This window comes from Homo sapiens, unplaced genomic scaffold, assembly GCF_000001405.40.
Source record: "Homo sapiens unplaced genomic scaffold, GRCh38.p14 Primary Assembly HSCHRUN_RANDOM_CTG10".
NCBI lineage: Eukaryota > Metazoa > Chordata > Mammalia > Primates > Hominidae > Homo > Homo sapiens.
This window is the reverse complement of record NT_167213.1, coordinates 67,452-92,258: the sequence shown is the minus strand read 5'-3', so window position 1 is coordinate 92,258 and position 24,807 is coordinate 67,452. Positions and strand designations below refer to the sequence as shown.

Genomic DNA, 24,807 nt, shown 5'->3' with positions numbered 1-24,807 from the left:
ATTAATAAAAATGAGCATGTCTGTAAGCAAAGAGTTTCACTGAGCTCTGCTAGATTCAGAAGCAATTGAACTTACAACATCGTAGTTTGCAAAACACAGATTTGATTTACCCAGGAACTAAAGCTAAGTAAGCTATGGGTTAATAGAAGTTCTGTGAAGGGTACTTAGACTACAGTAAGATTGGGGAAGAAAATTCCATTTCCAAATCTAGGATATATCATTCCTTTGTGCCAAGCACATAATGAAGGTAGAGGTTTAAGGGGGCCCTTAGCACAGAAGCACTGGGTTAGTCAGAAGGTGAGGTGAGCTGTCACACAGCCTTGATGCTAGAATGAGGGTGCCCTGGTAGTATCTTATCAGCCATGACACGGGTGCATCGGGACTTTTTCTTTTTTTTTTTGAGACAGGCTCTTGCTTTGTTGCTCAGGCTGGAGTGCAGTGACATGATCATGGCTCAGTGCACCCTCGACCTCGTAGGCTGAAGCAATTTTCTCACCTCGGACTCCCGAGTAGCTGGGACCACAGTCTTGTACCACCATACCCAGCTAATTTCTTAATTTTTTTGTAGAGATGGGGGTCTCCTTTTGTTGCCTAGGCTGATTTTGAACTCCTGGGCTTAAGTGATTCTCCTGCTTCCACCTCTCTAAGTGTTGGATTACAGGCATGCCAGACATATGGAAAAATTCTCAACTATCTGAAAATATGTGAAAAGCTTTGTTATGCATTGTGAGACAACACAGCGGGAATATTTCATCATCTGCCTAAGGTTTAAAAGGAAATAACTTTAAGCATGTGTCTAAATAGCAAGTAATGTTTTAGAGCGGATTCTCTTAAATTCAGCTCAGACGTCTGCAGCATATACACAGCTTGAGCTGTAACCTGACATGGAGACAGGCTACTTCAGTGCCCACTGTTCTTAGGATCCACTGCTTTTTCACAGCTAAAACCCCCGAGTGGCACCGTTAAGTATTATGTTATGTTACTTTAGTCGTTAAACATATAAGCATACCTCCAAATATTGAATGTAGGCCACTTGCAGAAAGTAGGCAGAATGCTCACATTTAATTCTTGATGATACTGTATTTAGCTTTCTTATTCTTTGAAATCTCATTGAGAAGAAATACTGGCATCTGCTCAAAGTAATTTCTTTTTCAGTTGACAATATTATAAGTAATGTTATTGTATCATTTCACTACTTGGACAGAGTGTGAAAATTTTGAGGAGCTTGTCTGCCAGAAATTTCTTCTTCATTTGCGAAACATTAATGAGATATTATATTTAAATTATTTAATATTAAGTGTACTTGGTGAACATGGCATAGAACATACAAAATAAAACTAATTTACAATTATTAACTATTACATTTATAGGAAAGACTTGCTAATCATAACACTGTTCATAATGATTCTGAATAAAGCATTATTTCTTTTACTGAAAACAATTGTAGCTATAACTCAATCATCTAAATTGTCATTAGTTTTATTGCTTTCTAATCATCTTTAGCTGAAATTTTAATTTTGATTAATTTTCTTTTTCTCCATTGGTTTCGTGTGTGTGGAGGTAAAATATACAGAATATAGAATTTGCCAGTTTTTCTATTTTTACGTGTACACTTCAGTGGCATTTAAATACATGCAGCACCATTTTACCTTCCCACCAGCATTGCACAGGGTTTCCGTTTCTCCACATCCTGCCCAACATTTGTTTTTCTGGTTTTCTTGGTTTCCGTTTTTTGTTTGTTTTGATAATAGCATTTTAATGGGTGTGAAGTGGTATTGCATTATGGTTTTGATTTATATTTTCCTAGTGACTAGTGATGTTGAGCGTCTTTTCCAGTGCTTATTGACCATTCGTATATCATCTTTGGAGCAATGTCCATGTATATCCTTTGCCCAGTTTTGAATTGTGGTGTTTGTCTTTTTGGAGTTCTCTATATACTCTGGATATTAATTCCTTATAATGTATGTAGTTTACAAATATTTTCTCCATTCTCTGGGTTGCCTTTTACTCTCTTGACAGTGGTTCTTGATGCACAAAAGTTTTTAATTCTGATGAAGTCCAGTTTGTCCGTGTTTTCTTTTCTTGCCTGTGCCTTTGATGTTCTATATAAGAAATCATTGCCAAATTCATTGTCGTGAAGCTTTTCCCATTTTCTTCTAAAAGTTTTCTAACTTTAGCTCTTACATTTAGGTCTTTGGTCTATTTTAGGTTACTTTTTGTATTTGGTGTTAGATAAGGGTCCAACTTCATTTTAGCTGAAATTTTATGTATTTTAAAATTGATTATGAAAAGCATGAAATGTTTAGTTGAATAGAAAATTTTGTGCAGTGGAATTAACTGAATCTTTAAAACCTTTTTATTATGGAAATATCCAAACTAATCCATACATAGAAGAATATAATTAGTCCCCCATGTGCCCAGGCCCCAGCATTAATTATCAATGTTTTGCCAATCTCGTTTCATTTACATACACACCCCCACACACATTTTTTCCTAGAAAATTTTAAGTAAAATCACAGATATTATGTCATTTTACCCATAAGTACATAAATGTACATTTCTTAACGTGGTATGTCTTTCTCTCATCACCTGTTTTGTTCTTTACTTTTATGCATTATACTATGTCATTATCAGACCTTGCAAAATTAACAAGAATTCCTTAATATGTCATATCCAGTTAATGATTGACTCATTTCTACTCTAGTTAAAGTACAATTTAGGAGGAGTTTTGAGGATATTTTTTAACATTAAGATATAAACTTTTATAACAAGTGCTAAAATAATTGTGGCTAAAGTCTAACATTTCTATTGGCAAATTGGAAATTAGTAAACATAGACATAGATTCTGCTCATTTTGCTTTCAATCTAAAATCATAGTTAAGATTACTGGCCGGGAGCGGTGGCTCACATCTGTAATCCCAGAACTTTGGGAGGCAGAGGCGGGTGGATCACGAGGTCAGGAGTTCAAGACCAGCCTGGCCAATGTGGTGAAACCCCGTCTCTACTAAAAATACAAAAAAAATTATTCGGTCATGGTGGCAGGTTCTTGTAACCCCAGCTACTCTGGAAGCTGAGGTAGAGAATTGTTTGAATCCAGGAGGCGGAGGTTGCAGTGAGCCAAGATCGTGTCACTGCACTCCAGTCTGGGCGACAGAGCGAGACTCCGTCTCAAAAAAAAAAAAAAAAGTTTACTATGCTAGAAAGTCTTCCTGTAGAGACATTTTTAAGAAGTATTATGATAGGCATTGCCTCTGGAAAGCAGGCATGAATAGATGGCTGGGGTCTATCATGAGAGAGACCGTTCTCCATATATCACTTTGTACCTTCACATGTTGCCTTTTGTTTTGTTTCGGTCTTTTTTTGAGACAGGACCTTGCTCTGTCACTCAGGCTAGAGTGCAGTGGCATGATCATAGCTCACTATAACCTTGAACTCCTGGGCTCAAGTGATCCTCTTTCACAGCTCCCCGAGTAGCTGGGATTACAGGCATGCACCCCCATGCCTGGCTGTATATTGCTATTTTGTATTTTAAAAACCTAATCCTGACTGTGCTGGTAATCGCAGGAATCTGTGCACATACATGCAAACAAGTACATGTAAAACTGGTGAAATCTGAATAAGCTTCATGGATTATATCAACGTCAGTTTCCTGATTCTAACAATGTATGATACTTATGTAAGTTGTCATCATTGAGACAAAGCGAGTAAAGGATATGTGAGATCTTCGTATTATTTCTTATGACTGCAAAATAAAAGGTTTTTAAAACTAAGTTATAATAACAAAGAACTCTGTGTCAAAACTAAAATATAAAGTTGAAATATCAATTTTATTTTTTAGGAATCTGGTGAACAGTAACAAACTTTGATGAAATTTCAGGAACCATAGCCATTGAAATGGATGAGGGAACCTATATACATCCACTCGACAATGGTCTTTTTACCCTGGGAGCTCCACACAAAGAAGGTTTGTGTCTGGAAGGGAAGATCCTGCCACAAGTGTAGATTTTAGGACATTCATTCACTTAGGCCAAACTCTAACTAGTCTCAAACATTTTCCAAAGGAATGGAACCATTGCATTTGACTCGTCCATTTTTTTAATTCCTTAATATTTACTAGCCGTTGGCAAGTCCCTCTTTCTAATATAAGCATTTGAAAACATTCCATATAGTTCCAGAAGAGTATCTTTGGAAATCAAAACAATATGAATAATTAAAATAGTAAGTGGAAAGAAAAAAGAAAACCTATTTGAGTCAAACATGTTTGAATTTCTTTTTTATTCAGACCTATTACCAAAACTAACCTGGGTGCATTTAACAATTTGAAGTTTCCTCATTTTCTTTAGCCCATTAGAGGAAGCACTAATGAGATACGAAATAATTAGAAGATAAAAAGCAGTATCATTTGGTCAGCAAGGCCATCCATTGAATAAATGAAAGCATTTAGCTTTTTTAAATAAGTGCTTATTTATGACTGTATTTTAAAACATAAAGAGAAGCTATCTCGAAAGTTATTAAATAAGCATTATATCACCCTGTCTTACTCAGTGTATAAAATTAGCACTGTAGTTAAAAGAAGGTAAAATAGATCTTGATTCCAAAGATACAGTATTACAGTGACATCAGTATATCTGAATATTCTTACATTTAATTGCAGAAGAAAATAGCAACATTTTTAAAGCAAAATAATGTCTTTATATTTATAGCAAATGTCAAATTTATTTTCAAATGTTTTTTTCTCCAATATTGATGAGGGCCCTAGTCCTCCAGAGCAGTTTATGGCTGTCAAATTATCTGATTCCAGGTGAGCTTATGTTGTAATATAATTAGTAACCAGTTATTTTAAAAATTTAATTGTATTCATTAAAATTTTTAGTATCTGTCTTAAACCCATGGTAATTTTGATATAAAAAATGAAATAGCTTTTTTGAAAAGTAGATTTTGTGATCTACTTTTAGTGGATTTCCTATCAATATATAATGCTAGGCTGGAAGAAAGATATGTAAGTTAAAAAATGAAGATTAATAATTTCACACACCAAGTAAGATAGATTAAAAAATAAATCAAATACTACAAAACCTTGTTCACTGTTGCTATGATATTTAAACTCACTGTTTGGAAGTCTAAAGACAAACAGGAAGACTAAAAAAAGGAATATTGTTGAAACCAGCAGAGAATGTTACAGCATCATAACAAACAAAAGAATATTTTTACTCACTATTTTTACAGTCATTTTATAAAGTAACCTTTTTTATTCTCACCTTGTGCAGAAGTATAGAATGATTCTTTGGGTAAAAGATACTGAAAGTGAATTTACATATTTTAGTAATTGGTTACATCAACATGATAATGATTTCTGTTATATAATCATTAACGTATAAAGGAGTAAAAGTCAATTCTGGCATCCGAGGAAATTCTTGGTAAGGTAAAAGAAATCATAATTTTAAAAAATCACATTAAGATGATTATTTCTATACTTTCTTTGAAAGTCTGATAAGTAGGGTGAAAGACAGAATAAAAGCAGAGGAAGAAAAATTCAATAGTTTTAAACTGCTTTACAATTATAAACAAAAAAGGATTATAAAGAAAACTGACAAATGAGGAAAATATTTGCAACAATCTTAATAGGCAGTGAGTTCTTACTCTTCATATGTATCTTGTATAGAATTCATAGCACTGAAGAACCCAGTAGGAAAATTGCGAACAATCAGATCTGAATAGAAAAATGGACAAGGACATTACCAGATAATCTAAAAACTAAAAAGGAAAGGAAAAGAGAAACAATTGTTATTCTAGTTAACTACTAAAATGCAAATTAATAGGATACTGTTTTTTTCCATATCAGGTTTTCAAGTATTTTTTTAGAGTCATAATGTTTTAAAAAAAATCCATGATACAAAACATACTCCGTTAATTTGAGGTAAGAATGTAAATGGAAGCAGCATTTTCTGGAAAACAGTTTGATGACATAAAGTTTTAGTAATTTATTATTGAAATTTATAACTAAAGAGGTATAATTGAAGAATGATGAATTTTGAAAATATTTGTTATGTAATAAATAAGGTACCATGTTTATATTAAAAAAGCAAAATATAAAACTAAATTTAAAACTTTACTGTCCAATATGGCCACAACTAGTCACATGTAGCTTTTTTTTTTTTTTGAAGGCACAGAGTCTCACTCTGTCACCCAGGCTGGAGGGCAGTGGTGTGATCATAGCTCACTATAACCTCAAATTTCTGGGCTCAAGCACTCCTCCTGTGTCAGCCTCCCAAGTAGCTGGTATTACATATGCACACCACCATGCCCAGCTAACTTTTTAAATTTTTTGTAAAGATGGGGTCTCACTATGTTGTCCAGGCTGATCTTGAACTTCTTGCCTCAAGCAATTCTCCCATTGCCTTCCCAAAGCACAAAGATTACAGGAGTGAGTCACCACTCAGCCACATGCATCTTTTGAACACTTGGAATATGTCCAGTCTGAAACTTTAGATATGTACACACCCACACACATACACATGTCCTGTTTTGATGTCCTATAATTAATTTTCTCTCAGTTTTTAACTTTTGTCCATCTTATTAATGTACAGAATCACCCTGAAATCTGGCTATGGAAAATATCTTGGTATAAATTCAGATGAACTTGTTGTTGGGCATTCAGATGCAATTGGACCAAGAGAACAATGGGAACCAGTCTTTCAAAACCTAAGTGCTGTTATTGTTTATAAAAACTTCCTGTCAGTTTCACACAAAGTCTGTAACAGTCAATCATAATATATTTAAAAAGAAAAAGTAGGATGCAATAGTGTAATACATTAAATTGGAATAAACCAGCAAGAACATAGAGCCTTAAAGAGATCTCAAAATACAGTGCAACAAAAATCGCATTAGTACTTTTGCCCACAATTATTTCTCTATACCCTTAGTGCCTAGATATGGATCTCATTTCCATTAAAGAACCAGTCAATTTTAGGTCACAGAGTAGGAAAACAGAATAGTTCATAAGTATCTTCTTTGTAGCAGAAATCATGCATGCTTTCAGAAACATTACAGACTGCAAGCAAACAGTGGAGCTAGCTAAGACCAAGTTGTGACAATTTGCATATAAAATATAAATAATAATAGTTCACTGAAGTAAATTATCTCTAAGATTTTCAGCTCATAAGCTTAAAATAGTGTATGAAAAGATAGTTTTAATATAAGAAGAAAAAAGATAATATACTAATTCTCAATTTTAGTAAGTAGACAGTTGTAGTATACGGATGTTTTGTTAAATCTTTGTTGATACAGAATACATAATTTCCTTTTTCTGTTTGTGTGAGAAGTAAAGATTGAACAAAAATATGTGAGTGCTAAACTGTCTTTAAAAAGTAGATAACTATATCAAAAACAGTAAGGACCAGTGGGCACCACGCAGAACAAGCAAATAGAAGATAAGCTCAGCCTTTGAGTAGCAGCTTTGGTAGTATACAATAATGAACTGAAAATAGGAACACAGCAGTGTTTTCTAAGATGACAGATTAAACAAACATCCCACCAGAAAGAGGTAATCACTTAGACTAATTTCGTCATCCCCCAGGATAAAATCTTAAGTCAGTGACTTGAAAACTATTTTGACCCAATCCATTGAGAAATGCATTTTTACATTGCCAGCCCAGCACAAACATATGTATAACTGAAGCAAGAGTTGTACTTAACAATACTTACTTATCCATGTGTTATGCACCTTGATATTTCGTATTCTCTTTTACCCCTTTCTCTGTGTGTCTGTGTGTATTCCTTTTCCCCCCCACCCACCCAATACCCTTGAGGAAACAATACATTGATTTCATTACTTGCTAATGTGTTGCAACCCCTTTGAGATGTCCTACTAGTTATGATGAGATGCTTCTAATAAAAGTTACACCAGTAGAAAATGCCAATATTTCATAAGGCCAGGATGATGACTTAGATAGCACTAATAATACAACACTTTAGGAAAGTTCATTTCATTTTATTTTTAGGAAGGACACTAAGCTTCAAAAATTTAAATTTGAATGAAAGAGGGTCTTAAAAATCTATTGCAAAAAGGACTCAGCTGAATAATCTGTGGCACAGGTTTAAATCGCCTTGGACCACACCGCCATGTTCCAGGGCTCACCAGGAGCCATCCAGATGAGAGACCTCCCAGCCCTTGTGACTTGACTAAGAAATTAAATCCATGTTATCAGCACGTTTTTAACTGGATGTGATATAAGTTTAACATATTTTGTAATCATTTTATTTATAAATATTTTGTCTAAATGTTATGATATTCCAGGTTTTCCAAAAGAATCAACCAAAAAGAAGTTATAAATAAACGTTATATTTGGTACGGGAGTTAAGCTAACAAAATTTATAACCCAGATTTAAATACACAAGAAAATCAGTTTTTAAAGTTTTGTTTAATAGAAACCAGTGTAATACATCAAACATTAAACAACTAAAAATGTATATGAATATTTATTTTCACACACAAGGGTCCCTCAGACATTGATTCTTAAATTCAAAACACCAAAGTCATTATATGTACCTTTTCATGTTTTCTAATTGTGAAGAAAATAAATTTTACTTAAACTGTTAATATTTGAATAAAGTATGCATTCATAATTATGTTCTTGTCTTTGAAGTTGATTTTCCAAGCAGAACTAAATCAGTTTTATCTTCAGTAGATCTTTTAGAAAGGAAGCAATCCTACTAGGAAGATACACTACAAATGTTTATTGTGGTAATCTTTGAATAGTAAAATGAAAGGTGATTTTGGTTTCCTTTTCTATATGTTCTTATATTATATTTTTCAGGTTTTTCTCTAAGTTCTTTTCTGTGATTTTTAAATCAGGGAGGAAAAATTAATTCAGTCTAAACACTTAATGTTTTTTCCACAGGAAGTATCCTCATGGCTATTTTGTTATTTTCTTTCACTTAGGGGAAAATGGCTTTGTTGGCCTCAAATGGCTGCTTTATTAGATGCAATGAAGCAGGGGACATAGAAGCAAAAAGTAAAACAGCAGGAGAAGAAGAAATGATCAAGGTAACGATGACATTTTATACAGATGACTGCATTCACACATGCAATATGACTGTATCTCTTTAAAATGTTAAGTCATCATTTACTGTCACTTTAAAGATTTACTTAATAGCTTTTTATAATGTGGTGTTTCAAATAGACTCATTTTTAATTACAAATCTCATAGTTGATGGCTTGTTTCTACAATGTGGTAGAGAAATCAGTGCATCTAGGAGCTACCGTGCCACTATCTCCATGGATTAGTATCTTTTTCTGGTAGTTCCACATACTCTTTTTAAACTTTCATTTTCTTATTTTCTTGTTTGTATTTTAAAATCTAATTTTTAAAATAAATAACATGTACATGTGGTCCAACATTTTTAAATAAAAGCATATGAAGATGAAGACATATGCCTGCCATGCATCTTACCTGTGTCCCAGGTCCTGTTCCTCTTTCCCTTTGTTTTGTTTTTTTATAGCCTCCTAAAATTTCTTTATAAACATATGAGTATATTTATAATTTTCAACTGTTTTACACTAAAGGCAGCCTCCTCTATCGTCTTCTTGACTTTGATTTTTTTTTCCTTAAAATTGTATCTTGGAGAGTTTTCTACTATTAGTTTGAATGTAGAAAGTTTTCTCTTTTTCTTGCTTTTTCTCTCTTTCTCTTTTTTAACAGCCACATAATATTCCATTTTAGGGCTATACCTTAATTTATTTAGTCTTTTATAGATGGAAATTTAGGCTGTTTCCAGTCTTTTGCTCTTATAAACAGTGCTGCGGTACATAACATTGAATATGCATCAATTTGTGGATGTGCGGGTGGACCTGAAGATAAATTTCCGGAATCAGAATTACCAGGTCGGAGTATATGTGTTTGTATTTACATAATGCTTGAGCTTCTGTGATGATAATCACTCTATGAAACATAAAAAATCATAGCAGAACTTCTGGGGCCTTAGCCCTTACATTTTAAAAATATTTTTAGTAATAGTACCCATCATCTTTGCATTAGGAGAAACAGGAATCACATAAAACATGATTTTTATTTTATTTTGAAAATTTGTGTGCATCACTAAGCTGGAAATAAAAGTTCCTTATTCCAGGCTAAATTCCCTCATCCGTAGTCAGATGCGTTATCCATTGCACCAGTGGCCTGTGCCCTCCCTAATCCTACTCTTTGTTTTACATCATTGTAAAAGTTACACAGACATCTTCATATCAAGGTGAAATTCTAAATAATACTGTTAATATAACCTAGATAAATCAGGTAGTTAACTGGAATTTGATGAAAACATTTAAGGCTTAATTTTTTAGACTCACAAAAGCCACTGATCTTTAATGATAAACATATACCAGGGTGTGTCTAAAGAATAACTCCCGCCTTCTTGACACATGGCTTTTCTGTGTCTTGGCATTCCATCGCAGTACTGAGCATCCTGAACCTTGCTTTGTTTGTCTCTGTTGGGAATCACAGGTTGCATCCAGTCTGACCCGGATTTGCTCTGTAAGGCATTGTAGGGGCCAGAGTGGAAGGCTCTAAGAGAGGGGACAAATGCCTTTTCTAAAATGCCCTTCGTTCTTATAATTAGAGCATAAAAATTTATGTTACATTTTTCTCTACTACCAGTGTAATTTAAAAGCATCTATCAATTCTCTGTGTGTGCTTCATTTTAGATTTCCGGTCATGTTTGATTTTCTTTTTAGAATAGTCTTGATTTCAGATAATTTCAAATCTAAAGCTCAAACAATTTCATTCTAAAATGTAGGTATTTTCTTACAGTTAGAGAAGTGAAATGTTATATTTTTTCGTTGCATGCATCCGGCACATAAGTTGTAGTCTTGAATTTCCATAATGCTCCTGTGAGGTGGATATGAGCTCAGCCTTACAGACAGGAAGACAGCCTCTGACCCTCCTTACATCCTCATTGTTTTTGTCAGTCAGTTCATGGAAATCACAGTGATTTCAAGATGTGGTAAGACAGGATGTGTACCCAGGCCCAGCTGACTCCAGAGGCCACTCTCAGTATTTCATAGAACATTGCTTCTCAGGAAACAGGCCGTTGAGGAAATGCAGATGGGTTTGTGACTTACATTTAATTTTACTTATTTATATTTTATTGTATCATGTTTAAATTTTTCATCTGGATATCATCACAAAAGTGTTATTGAAGGCAACAATTGGAAATATATGTGCAGTGTTTTGCACTTATACAAAGATACAAAGATACTTACACAAAGATTGCGTTTTTCACTATTTAAAGAAATTTTCTGATGAAATACAAAGTTTTCTGGGTCTCTTTGGTTAGTCAAGTACTTGGAAACTCTGAACAGTGATTACTTAGGACTCTTTTCATACCATTTAATTGCAGGCTTTCCTAATCTCTGTCAGTCCTTCACCTTTATGACCTTGCCTTGTCTACCAGAACACACATCCCTCTTACTAAAGGTAGCATTGTCCTACAGGCCCTAGCAGGGAATGTTTTCATGTCTGGGACCCCTCTAATCAAAACTGTCACAAAGATGTCATTGGCACAAACACGTTATTTGTCATCACTTTCTAAGCAGCCCTGGAACTGGAATCTGGCCACAGAGATCCCTTAAGAGACATGAGTCATTACCATTGCCAATTGCCTGTTCTGTGGGTGATCCTAATTGTTGAATGCAGATCAATTAACTTATGACATGTGATAGTAAACAGCTATCCAAACTTAGGAGGATATAAGAAGCTTGTAAAAGAGGTGGGTTCCAATTAATTAAAAACAAGTTGTGTAATGTTAAAAATCTTAATACTTTGGTAATAGTCTGTGCAACGTAAAATAGCTATTAAGCTTTCAATCTGATCAAATGAACACTTGTCTACTAGGGATAATTTGATCCTAGTGTATTCACTTGGAGGACAAAACTAAATTAATGATTGCTTTATTGCCTAGCAGGATCTGATGTGTAAAATGTTTCTGAAATAATTTTGTCTGTAGTGTTTCTGACACAAGGGCTGCGGAGGAAGCATGTGATAGCACTTACTCATATAGATTATATATATGAAGTAAAAACACATAGCCAGAACCTGTCTTTTTCTGAATATAGTTGCTCAGTTAATTTTTTCTTCTGCATAAGAAATCATCTCGAATGTTCTTATGTGATACGTAAAGTGGGGAAAGTGGAAGATAAACATATAACCCATTGGATTCTCTTTTCCAATATCTAGATTAGATCCTGTGCTGAAAGAGAAACCAAGAAAAAAGATGACATTCCAGAAGAAGACAAAGGAAATGTAAAACAATGTGAAATCAATTATGTGTATGTATGCTTTTCCTTTTAGACCTACGGATTTGACAGTGAAGTGCTTCTCAAAGTGCTTTCAAAATAAATTACCTAATTAGCTGGGGATGGTGGTGCATGCCTGTAGGCCCAGCTACTCGGGAGGCTGAGACAGGAGGATTCTTTGAGCCCAGGAGTTCAAGGCCCCAGTGAGCTCTGATCACCACTGCATTCCAGCCTGGGTGACAGAGCAAGACCCTGTCTGAAAAAATGAAACCTGATGGACAAAAGAGGCAACACAATGTAGCCTCTGGGACAGAGCACTGAGCTAAATGCTTTTCTTTTCTTGAGGGTTCAGTTTTCCTAATCATCCTACCAGCTCCCAAAGCTAGTCACTCGGGTTAGTCAATCTCTCTATTCATTCATAGAATGGGCATGATGCCAGTCAAAGGCTGTGCTATGGCCAGGACACAGGGGACTCCAGCCAGCATGCCCTAATAGAAGTGGGGCCTTTTGCTACCCAGTCAATGAGTAGCCCTCCTCTTGAGAGGTCACGAGAGTCATCTTTGTTGTTCAAATGCTCCAGCTTATTAAAAAAAAAATACAATTAGACTTTTGTTTCTCCCCCAAGACGGAGTCTCGCTCTGTCCCCCAGACTGGAGTGCAGTGCCATGATCTCGGCTCATCGCAACCTCCACCTCCCAGGTTCATGTGATTCTCCTGCCTCAGCCCCCCAAGTAGCTGGGACTATGGGCACGCGCCACTACGCTCGGCTAATTTTTGTATTTTTAGTAGAGACGAGGTTTCACCATGTTGGCCAGGCTGTTCTCGAACTCCTGACCTCGAGTGATCTGCCTGCCTTGGCCTCCCAAAGCTGGGATTGCAGGTGTGAGCCACTGCATCTGGCCTACAATTAGACTTTTTTAATAAGTGAAAAAGAAATTAACAGTATTTATAAATTTAATAGTAAATATGTATAATCAGAGTTTGAGGTACTTTTCAATGAAGACATTTTCTTTGCAGAAAGAAATTTCAGAGCTTCCAAGAGCACAAACTTAAAATAAGTAAAGAAGACAGTAAAATTCTTAAAAAGGCTCAGAAAGATGGATTTTTGCAAGAGACGCTTCTGGACAGGTAGCTATTTATTTACTTATTTTCACTGTTTTCAGTAGCCAATAGAAATGGCATGTAGAAAACCTATATTCTCTTAAATTACTGTAGTTTTCAAATTTTTGTCTTCATTTCTAATTTATGAGTGTGCAAAATTACCTAGAGAGGACATCATGAGTTTGGGAAAAGACTGTCAACAAAGAATATCTAAAAATTATAACCGATTCTAAGTATATACTTTAAGAAATTCAGGTTTGACTGTATCTACTTCATAAATTTATCATTATCTTTTTATAACTATTAGAACCAGAGTTAGAAAGAAGCAGTTTGGCTAATATAAAAATTATGTGGATTCTGTTAGAGTAGTTCAGCTTCCTTAAAATAAGCATATATCAACTAACAAACTAAATATAAAAGCTAAACAAGTGAAATTGAAGCAGTTTTATTGTAAGATTTGGAAGAGTGCAGGATGTTTATCATAGCACATTATTAATATTTATTATTCTTCCTATGTAGATAAGTAATGTCCTAGATTTATACCATAGAAAAACAGGTAGAGACGTTTAGCTGTGAGTGTACAAGTATAAATCAATTAAGTGCCAGATTTTGATCATCACCAGTTGCTCATTCAAGTCCTATGTTGCAAAGTTACTCTTACCCTTTTTTACATTACTTGATAAAGGCAATGTTTAATTACATATTTCCTGTTAACTAGCTGGTAGAGTACATACGTAAAGTCAGTAAATAATGTTACAAATTTTTTCCAGCTGAGTAAGTGAATATGTATCTAGTTGTAAGAAATCAAGAAGAGGATAAAAAATATAATCAGGATGTGGACTCTAAAACGGAATAAACTCTATGTCCTGTAACTTTTCTCACTTGTAATAATACAGCATTCTCACCCTGTTAAATGGAAATTTAGAGCACCCTTAAATTCCGGAATAAAATTGCTATTTGGATAGAAAAAACCCTTAGGCAACATTTATTGAATATTAGGAAATAACTTTTATAGGATTATAATCCATTTTTTATAGAAACCAAATTTAAAAGTATACATATTTTAATATAAGTGTTGTGATAATACAGTAACCAAAATTGAACACACAGTTTTATAGCTTTTTATATTTAGTAGCAGTTGAATATATATGGCATGTTTTACATAGATTAATTTTACTATTTTTATTTGTTTAAACAAGAGGACCAAATTGAAAGCCGACAGATACTGCAAATGACTGGGATTTTTGTTTCTGCCTTATCTTTTTGTGTTTTTTTCTGAATAAAATATTCAGGGGAAATGCTTTTACAGAGTTCTTGAGTTGTTGTGAAATTATTGTTTAGCTAGTAGCTAGTTTAACCAGGATTAAACAAGTATAATCAGGATTCTTCATGGATGTACTTTTTAGCTAACTACAGTTTTTCACATGAAAATGAAACTTACAGTACACACTTAACGTACCACAGAATTATTTTCTGGGTTTCCTGTCCTGAAGCATGAAGTGTACTAGAAACCAATTCTTCCTGCGCTACTTGTGGAATCTTTCTTACTGGATCATAATCTTACTTTACTTTATACAATAGATGCTTAATCAGTGCCTTTAATAGGAAGTTAGAAACTCCCAATCCAATCAACAAGGCTTTGATTCTACCTCCTAAGTACTACCCAGATCACAGACAATCCAAATGTCAGAACTAGGGGGCTGGGCAGAGAAGACAAATCATCTATTAGGGAGTGGAACAGAAAGTGGAAACATTACAAAGGAGCAAGTAGGCTCAGAACAGAGGGGAGAGTAGTACTGGGGAAACTCCCTACTGAAGACAGATTTGCCACAGTGGATATGTATGTGATGCTTTTGTCCTCGTGGCCTGGAATGGAAGCTGATAAAGAAGTTCAGACGCTACGTGTTGCTTAGGTCTGCTTTGTTGAAGCCTGTCTCTTTCAGAGTTCCTAAACACGATATTCCCATGGCATCTAATCCCAGTGAGTGCTCCAAAGCCAGGCTGTGTATCAGATGCCACGGGAAATTCTGCCTCAGGACTGAGGTTGGTTCAAGCATCTGGATGATGTCAAAAGTCCACGTTGTGTGCTGGCCTAACCTGAAAGACCCTATCTAGTTCTAGCCTTTAAATTCCTTCTGTCACCAAATCTAGAGTTACATGGCATCTGTACAAGCTAGGTAGCTGAGGCATGGGATCAGCCCTATAAAGGAGCTTTTGGAACTTTTGTTGTAGATCTAGCTTCAACTTGGCACTCCAGTTCCAATAGCTGGACTTTCTCTCATCGTGTGTTCTGATCCTTGGATTCGGAACAAAGTAACCACTCTGATCCCACAAAGCAGTGGTTCCAGTTCCCAAATGGTGACTATTTTGCCTCCCAGGGGACATTTTTGGTTTTCACAACTGGAATACGGTGTTAGAGAGTAGAGGTTAGGGATGCTGCGAAGCATATGGCAGAATCCTGTTCCGCCCAGAATGCTAACAGTGCCAAGGTTATGGAGCCTTCCCACCCAAGGGCTTGGTCTATTCCTTGCTTTTGCTAGCTCCCTAACCCTTAAACACAACAGTTCAAATCTATATGCATAAGCATCTCCTAGGGACCTGCACATTTCCAATATTGACTACTGAGACCCATCCATAGAGATACAGGCTTAGGAGGTCTAGGATTGGGCTCAAAATTTGCATTTTTATAAGTACTCCAGGTCATTCTGAAGCAAGTGATACAAACCACAGAATGAGGAACACCACCTTCAAGAGACTGAATCTGGCTTCCCAACACTAGCTTGGTATCTGAGACCATCTGCCTGCTGACTGGCTTTCCTGGCACAAATATTCTGCATGTAGGCACAGTGTGTTCCTGGACTCCATGCCAACCCGTTCACCCTCATGTTCCCTTGGTTCCTGTCCCCAGTCCAGCGAGCAGAACTGATTACAGATCTTGACAACAGAAGATACAGATTTAAAATAACTTGCCTGTTCCCGTGGACTTTATCCACTAGTGAAGGAGGACAAGTGGATAAGGGGAGAGGGTAGGTGGGGGCTCCTTCCCTATTCCTCCCATTCCACTTTATACAAACCTCAGCTAGACCACTGGGAGAGCAACGGAGGTTAAGAATGACTGCATCTAAATATTGTCATCTGGTCCACTCTTCTTCCATCTTGTACACAGGATATCATGAGTTTTGTTTAAAGCACTACTGAAACCAAGTTAAACTCTGGCTTAGCATGCCCCTGACGGATCAGTGTAGTAATCTTATCAAAACCAAGATTACCTAAAAGCACTAACCAAAGGAAAAGCTCCCTCACCTCAACCTATGACTGCTCACATTTTTCAGATTGAATCATTTCAATTGTATTTTAAGGTTCATTGACTCTTTACCACCTCCAAGCTGCTCCTGAAAGCAACTGATTATTATTTTTTAATTTTGAAAAGGTTCTCACTTCTAGAATTTCCACTTAAGCCTTTGTTATTATTGTAGTTTCTTCTTCTCTGCTGTGATTTCCTATCCATTTATTTTAAGGGTTTTTGGGGTTTTGATTTTAGTAAGAATTACAATAACTACTTTAAAAATCCACACTAATTCCAACATCTGGGTCATCTCGAGGTCAGTCTCTATTGATTGCCTTTTTCTTTGAATATGTTTCTTTATATGTTTATTATAATGGGATTGAATTCTGAAGATTGTAAAACTAGATTTTGTTCTGTTCCTCTGAAAATTTTGATAATTTTTTGTTGTATTTGTTGTATTTTGCTTGATTTTTTTTCTATTGTATACTTTACAATATATTTTCCTCCAATGGTATTAACATATCTATTTCTCAAAATATTTATGTTTATGTTAAAAATTATACAAAGTAGCTTGGTGCAGTGGCTCCCGTCTGTAATCCCAGAACTTTTAGAGGTCAAGGCAAGAGGGTCACTCGAGCCCAGGAGTTGGAAACCAGCCTAGACAACAGGGCAAGACCCTGTCTCCACAAAAAATTATTAGGGTGGTACAAAAAGTAATTGCGGGTTTTGCCATTACTTTCAATGGCAAACCCCGCAATTACTCTTGCACCAACCTGATAAAAAATAAGCTGGGTATGGTGGTGGCATGTGCCTGTGGTCTCAGCTATTTGGGAAGTGAAGGCAGAGGTGGGAGGATTGCTTGAGCCCAGGAGTTCCAGACCAGCCTGAGACCCTGTCTCTATGAGAAAAAAAAAAAATTTAGCTGGGCCCACATACCTGTGGTACTAGCTACTTGAGAGGCAAAGGCAGAGGTGCCAGAATCACCTGAGCCCAGATGCTCAAGGCTACAGGGCACTGTGATTGCGCCACTGCACTCCAGCCTGGGTGATGCAGCACGACCCTGACTCCAAATAATAATAATAATTACAAGAAGGAAAGACCTAGAACACCAGGTTAGGGTTAAGTATTCTAAAATTTAGCTGACTTACTCTACTCTGTTCTCTATAAAACAGGTTGCCACAGAAAATATAGCATGCCCAGTTAATTTGAAATTTCAGATAAACAAATACTTTTTTCAGTGTAAGTATATCCCATGCAATATTTGGGACATGGTTATACTAAAATATTATTCCTTGTTTATCTGAAATTGAAATTTAACGGGGTATTACATAATTATAGCAGCCTGACCATAAAAGATATGTACGCTGAGCAAAATTCTACTTTAAACTTCAAGCTTTGTAATAAATGCATTATTAACCAAGAACTATTGTTTACTGAGACCTGTGTAGATCCCCATATTTATCTTTTTAAATGTGGAACTAGGAAAGCTACATAAAAAACATTTATAGAAATAAATGACTGTTCTATAGCTGAAAGGAAAACTCTAGCTTTTATTTTTCTCCCCAAACCTAAGCTTTATTCTACATTTGTATAAACAATAAAATTACAGCTCAACTTTGGAAGCACAAATCATAATATAAAAATAAAACAAAGATCCCAGAAATATTTAACAGGCAACAAATCTTTCACATCATCTTACTATAGCAACTAAACATATAATAACTTAGAATCATCCATTAATTATAAGTAAAGAATAAATTCTTTTACAAAGCATAACTATTAATATTATTGACGATCATAAGAGCAAATATTTTAAGTAAAGCACCATGAATACTTCACAGAAAGGAGCGAGTTGCAGACACAGTCATTCTTGGATTTCTTTCAACAGCAGGCTTTCTTCCCTTTTGTCCTGAACTGGGAGTTGAATATTTCCTCTCTTTCCTCTCTGACCCTCTAGTCTCTGAAGCATCTTTTGTACGAGAGGTATGTGGAGAGACTTCCTGGAAATTTGGATTTGTAAATTGTGCTGTTGTATCTTCTAGGCACTGCAGTGATCCAGATATAGAGCCGTTGCTCTTGCTTCTATAAGTGTAATATTTTGATTCAAAAAAGGAAGCAAAAGGAAGAGAGTTGATTACATTTTGGTACTGACATTAATAATAATAAATAATAATTGTACTTGTAATATAAACATCTGAAAGTTTTAGTTCTAAGAACGGCTGTCCACATAAGAAAATTATGTAAAAATAATTAATGTCTATTATAATTACTTTTCTCTAACCAAAGAAAAAGTACAATTTAAAGACGGCTGTTTAAGGATCAAATTGCAACAACTGGTAAAATAGATATTAGTCATATTTATTAAGTGACACACAGTGATACTGAAGGCACTTATTTCTCAAGAAACATCATTGTTTTTCCCAAAAAGAACATACTACATCCTAGACATGAAATGAAAATAAGGTTTAATTTTCACCACGGGAGGGCAACAATAAGAGAACTGAGGTGGTACAGATCCATTAGAGGACCATATCCATGATTCTATCAGTCTCTACTGTAGGACAGAGCAATAATTTTTTAAAAATCTCGGTGAAGGCTCCTTTTCAAAAAAATACAAAGATTAAAGCCTTTGAAACGTAAATTATTTTTTCCAGTTATTACATTGAGAACAAAGTTATATTTGCAAAGTTAAGATTTTTATAACTATCCCTAAAACTGATTCTCAGTGACTCCCTTGATCTACATATGTTAAGGAAAAAGGCAAGATGAAGATGTGTTAAATATTTTCCAATTTTTAATAATCGCTTTAATATAAGGTATACCCAAATAATGGTGAATTAAATGACCATGAAAGTACGTTATAGCAGATGCCCACTCATCAGTATGCCTTGAAATTAAAGGTTTATAAGGTGCATAAGGGCAAAGTTTTTGATGTTGCCATTACGTTCACAAAAGTATCTCAGGCACATACAGCATGAAGTTCAGTAAGTGCTTGCAACATAAGCAGCACTAAATTTTGTTGAATAAATAAATACTTTTGTATAGCATCTGTTCAAAATCTCTGAAGTAAAAATGAAAATAATCTGAAAATATGCAAAACCGAAATTTCCCATATAGGACTGCCAATTCATACAAACAATAAGATGAATTTCAAAAGGAGAACATGACAGTAAAATCAAGTTTCAAAATGACTGGTCTTTTTTAGAAAAACCCATGTTCAAAAAAAGGAATAAGACATCAAATGTTTTGAGAACCAAAATTTTACTGCTGCTTTTCTAACACCCTGTTGCTAACCTGAGCCCCCATCCTCTTACTGTCAATAACAGATTTTCATGATAAAATACAAGAAACAGGCCCAATGCCTGTTAATAACAGATTTTCATCATCAAATACAAGAAACAGGCAGGGCACGGTGGCTCACACCTGTAATCCTAGCACTTTGGGAGGCTGAGGAGGGTGGATCACTTGAGGTCAGAAGTTTGAGACAAGCCTGGCCAACATGGTGAAGCCTCATCTCTACTAAAAATACAAAAATTAGCTGGGTGTGGTGGGAGGTGCCTGTAATCCCAACTACTCAGGAGGCTGAGTCACGAGAATCGCTTGAACCTGGGAGGTGGCGGTTGCAGTGAACTGAGATTGAGCCACTGTACTCCAGCCTGGGCGACAGAGCAAGACTCTGCCTTAAAAAAAATAAATAAAAATACAAGAAACATCTCATAAAAACTAAATAATCACTGTTCTAACAAACCACAATCCACGAACAAGAATGGAAGTTTCAAAAGTAAGTTGTTTAAAAGAAACAAAATTTCATTTTACAAACCACTCACTTTTAAGCTGATAAAACTCCATGGCTTCCTTAAGAAACAAGAGCCTTTCGATGCTGAGCAGGGCAGTTTTGAAACTACCCCACCTCATTTTTCAGTACTTTTTCCAAATACTTGAGTTGATCCTGAGGTTCTCTATTTCTCTCATATTTGATCCTTTCATGACTTACTGAAGTTGAAAAGTTATTTAAGAAAACACAGTGGTGTTCTTCACTCATGTAATTTGTTCATGTATCAAAGGATGGAGACAAAGCTGGATGAAATGCTACAAAATTAAACTTACTCTTCACTTCCACATGACAATATAAATTCGGGAGGATTAATTTTCCCATTTATTTAACAGAACATCCTTGCTCACACTCTAAAGTAGAAATCTGTTCATGAAACCAATGAAAGCATGATATTTGGAAGAAATGGTATTACAAAGAAAGCAATGAATGAAGCAATCAAATTGCAGTGACAAAAATCATATAAATAACACCACTACGGAGCATTTTAAAAAATCTACACTTAAGTTAAAAAAAACTATTAGACTTAATACAAAAAAATGAATTTTTGCTTCAGATGTTAGCAATTTTTAAAAATTATACATAATGAACACCCCCCAAAGGCAATGTAGGGTTCATTTAAAGAAGAACCCATACTTTCAAAGAAGAACCTCTATTTCTCTGTTTGAATGTAAATTTAAAAGTACTTGTTTCATAATGTGCTGTTGAGACAATATGACATTGGGAAATTCCATTATAAATATACAAAAATCAACTCAAAATCAAGGAGAAGATAGCGATGAAAGGAGAGGGAGAGGGGAAGTGGCTGAAAGACACACAGTGAGTAATCCCAAGACTACATTCACAAAATCTTGTTTTCTCACTTTCACATCCTAAATGCCTCTCAGAGTATGAACATCTCACTGCTCTGAGTGTAATTCTCATGCTTAAAATTTTATTTTTGAAGCACGTTAGATGATAAAATGCAAACTATTTGGTACTCAACTGTTCTTTTCTACTAGAGAGAAACCTGGATATTTGTCATTATTGAGAGTCTCTAAAGTACTGCATAAATACTTTGGTCTACATTGTGATTTACAGGCAACTTAATGAATCTTTTGAAAGGGTAATTTAGAAATATGTGATTTTTGCTTCATGGCCAACTATAATTATTAGTCCTCTAGTAAGCAGCAACACAAATATACCTACTCAATAGCATTAAGTGGGAACAAAAAATATTTCCTACTTTAAACAAAATTTAAAGCTAGATTCAGAATTAAATAATGACTCTATAATATGTAAACAAAAAAGCAGTTATGATTTTTTTAAACGTGTTATGGAGTCTTACAAGGCTTAGATGAGTCTGCAAGTCTCTGTCATCTGCATTGGTAAGAGTGAGGCAGAAAAAAGAGGAACAGCCAAGAGCTTTCCTTCAAACATGAGTAAACATAGTGTGTTGGTTAAAATTTTTAAATAAAATTTGGTACTATTTAAATGTCTCAAGAAAGCCACAGAGTCACACCAGGCTAACCCTGCGAACACAGTAGAAACCAACCAGCATAAATCACAGAAAGAAAGTACACATTAAAAAAAAAGATCAGTGAGCTGTAGAACAACTTTTAGTAGCATAACTTACATGTTACTGGAATACCCAAAGGAGAATAAACAGAACAAAAGCTTAAAAAGCCCCAGAAAATTGAAGAAATAATAGTAGAAAAAATACAAAATTGATGAAAACAATAAACCCACAGTTTTAAGAATCTCAAATAACCTCAAGCACAAGAAATGTGAAGAAAACTATACGAATGCAGTTCACTTTCAAACCACTTATCACTAAAAAACCAAAGATAAGTAGAAAATATTAAAAAAAAAAACCAGGATTTTTTTAAGGATGTCTTATGCGCTAAAAAAAAAAAAAAAAAAAAAAAAAAAAATGAGAGAAAAATTTTCCACAGGAATGTCTTAATCTAGTAAACAGAAGTGTACTGAAAAATCTAGAAAACAGAAGACTAGGTGAAGCCAAGATGGCCGAATAGGAACAGCTCCAGTCTACAGCTCCCAGCGTGAGCGATGCAGAAGATGGATGATTTCTGCATTTCCAACTGAGGTACCAGGCTCATCTCACTGGGGAGAGCTGGAAAGTGGGTGCAGGACAGTGGGTGCAGTGCACCGTGCATGAGCCGAAGCAGGGAGAGGCATCATCTCACCCGGGAAGTGCAAGGGGTCAGGGAATTCCCTTTCCTAGTCAAAGAAAGGGGTAACAGACAGCACCTGGAAAATCGGGTCACTCCCACCCTAATTGTAAAGACCGTCAAGGCTAGGAAGAAACTGCAGCAACTAACGAGCAAATAATCAGTTAACATCATAATGACAGGATCAGATTCACACATAACTATATTAACTTTGAATATAAATAGACTAAATGCTCCAATTAAAAGACACAGAATGGCAAATTAGATAAAGAGTCAAGACCCATCAGTGTGCTGTATTAAGGAAACCTATCTCAAGTGCAGAGACACACATAGGCTCAAAATAAAAGGATGAAGGAAGATCTACCAAGCAAATGGAAAACAAAAAAAGTCAGGGGTTGCAATCTTAGTCTCTGATAAAAAAGACTTTAAACCAAGAAAGATCAAAAGACACAAAGACGGCCATTACATAATGTTAAAGAGATCAATTCAACAAGAAGAGCTAAGTATCCTAAATATATATGGACCTAATACAGGAGCACCCAGATTCATACAGCAAGTCCTGAGTGACCTACAAAGAGACTTAGATACCCACACAACAATAAGGGGAGACTTTAACACCACACTGTCAACATTAGACAAATCAGCGAGACAGAAAGTTAACAAGGATACCCAGGAATTGAACTCAGCTCTGAACCAAGTGGACCTAATAGGCATCTACAAAACTCTCTACCCCAAATCAACAGAATATACATTTTTTTCAGCACCACACCACACCTATTCCAAAATTGACCACATCGTTGGAAGTAAAGCTCTCCTCAGCAAATGTAAAAGAACAGAAATTATAACAAACTGTCTCTCAGACCACAGTGTAATCAAACTAGAACTCAGGATTAAGAATCTAACTCAAAACTGCTCAACTACATGGAAACAGAACAACGTGCTCCTGAATGACTACTGGGTACATAACAAAATGAAGGCAGAAATAAAGATGTTCTTTGAAACCAACGAGAACAAAGACACAACATACCAGTATCTCTGGGACACATTCAAAGCAGTTTGTAGAGGGAAATTTATAGCACTAAATGCCCACAAGAGAAAGCAGGAAAGGTCCAAAATTGACACCTTAACATCACAATTAAAAGAACTAGAAAAGCAAGCGCAAACACATTCAAAAGCTAGCAGAAGGTGAGAAATAACTAAAATCAGAGCAGAACTGAAGGAAATAGAGACATAAAAAACCCTTCAAAAAATTAATGAATCCAGGAGATGGTTTTCTGAAAGGATCAACAAAATGGATACACTGCTAGCAAGACTAATAAAGAAGAAAAGAGAGAAGAATCAAATAGACGCAATAAAAAATGATAAAGGGGATATCACCACCAATCCAATAGAAATACAAACTACCATCAGAGAATACTACAAACACCTCTATGCAAATAAACTAGAAAACCTAGAAGAAATGGATAAATTCCTCGACACATACACCCTCCCAAGACTAAACCAGGAAGAAGTTGAATCTCTGAATAGACCAATAACAGGAGCTGAAATTGTGGCAACAATCAATAGCTTACCAACCAAAAAGAGTCCAGCACCAGATGGATTCACAGCCAAATTCTAGCAGAGTTACAAGGAGGAACTGGTACCATTCATTCTGAAACTATTCCAATCAATAGAAAAAGAGGGACTCCTCCCTAACTCATTTTATGAGGCCAGAATCATCTTGATACCAAAGCCTGGCAGAGACACAACAAAAAAAGACAATTTTAGACCAATATACTTGATGAACATTAGTGCAAAAATATTCAATAAAATACTGGCAAACCGAATCCAGCAGCACATCAAAAAGCTTATCCACCATGATCAAGTGGGCTTCATCCCTGGGATGCAAGGCTGGTTCAATATACACAAATCAATAAATGTAATCCAGCATATAAACAGAACCAAAGACAAAAACCACATGATTATCTCCATAGATGCAGAAAAGGCCTTTGACAAAATTCAACAACCCTTCATGCTAAAAACTCTCAATAAATTAGGTTTTGATGGGACATATCTCAAAATAATAGCTATCTATGACAAAACCACAGCCAATATCATACTGAATGGGCAAAAACTGGAAGCATTTCCT

General features: G+C 35.4%; 1 long non-coding RNA gene and 1 pseudogene across 2 annotated transcripts in view; both read left to right on the top strand.

The window, feature by feature from the left end:
- Positions 1–24,807, top strand: part of LOC283788 (FSHD region gene 1 pseudogene) — a 43,294-nt pseudogene that overhangs the window by 7,384 nt on the left and 11,103 nt on the right. Inside the window, exons 3-6 of the transcript NR_027436.2 lie at positions 3,839–3,964; positions 8,942–9,046; positions 12,231–12,322; positions 13,307–13,417. The product of NR_027436.2 is annotated as an FSHD region gene 1 pseudogene (transcript). The remainder of the gene's footprint in view (positions 1–3,838; positions 3,965–8,941; positions 9,047–12,230; positions 12,323–13,306; positions 13,418–24,807) is intronic.
- On the top strand, positions 3,971–8,628 carry LOC105379420 (uncharacterized). Its single transcript, XR_950598.2, has 2 exons — positions 3,971–4,801; positions 6,588–8,628. It is a non-coding gene; the product is annotated as an uncharacterized LOC105379420 (long non-coding RNA).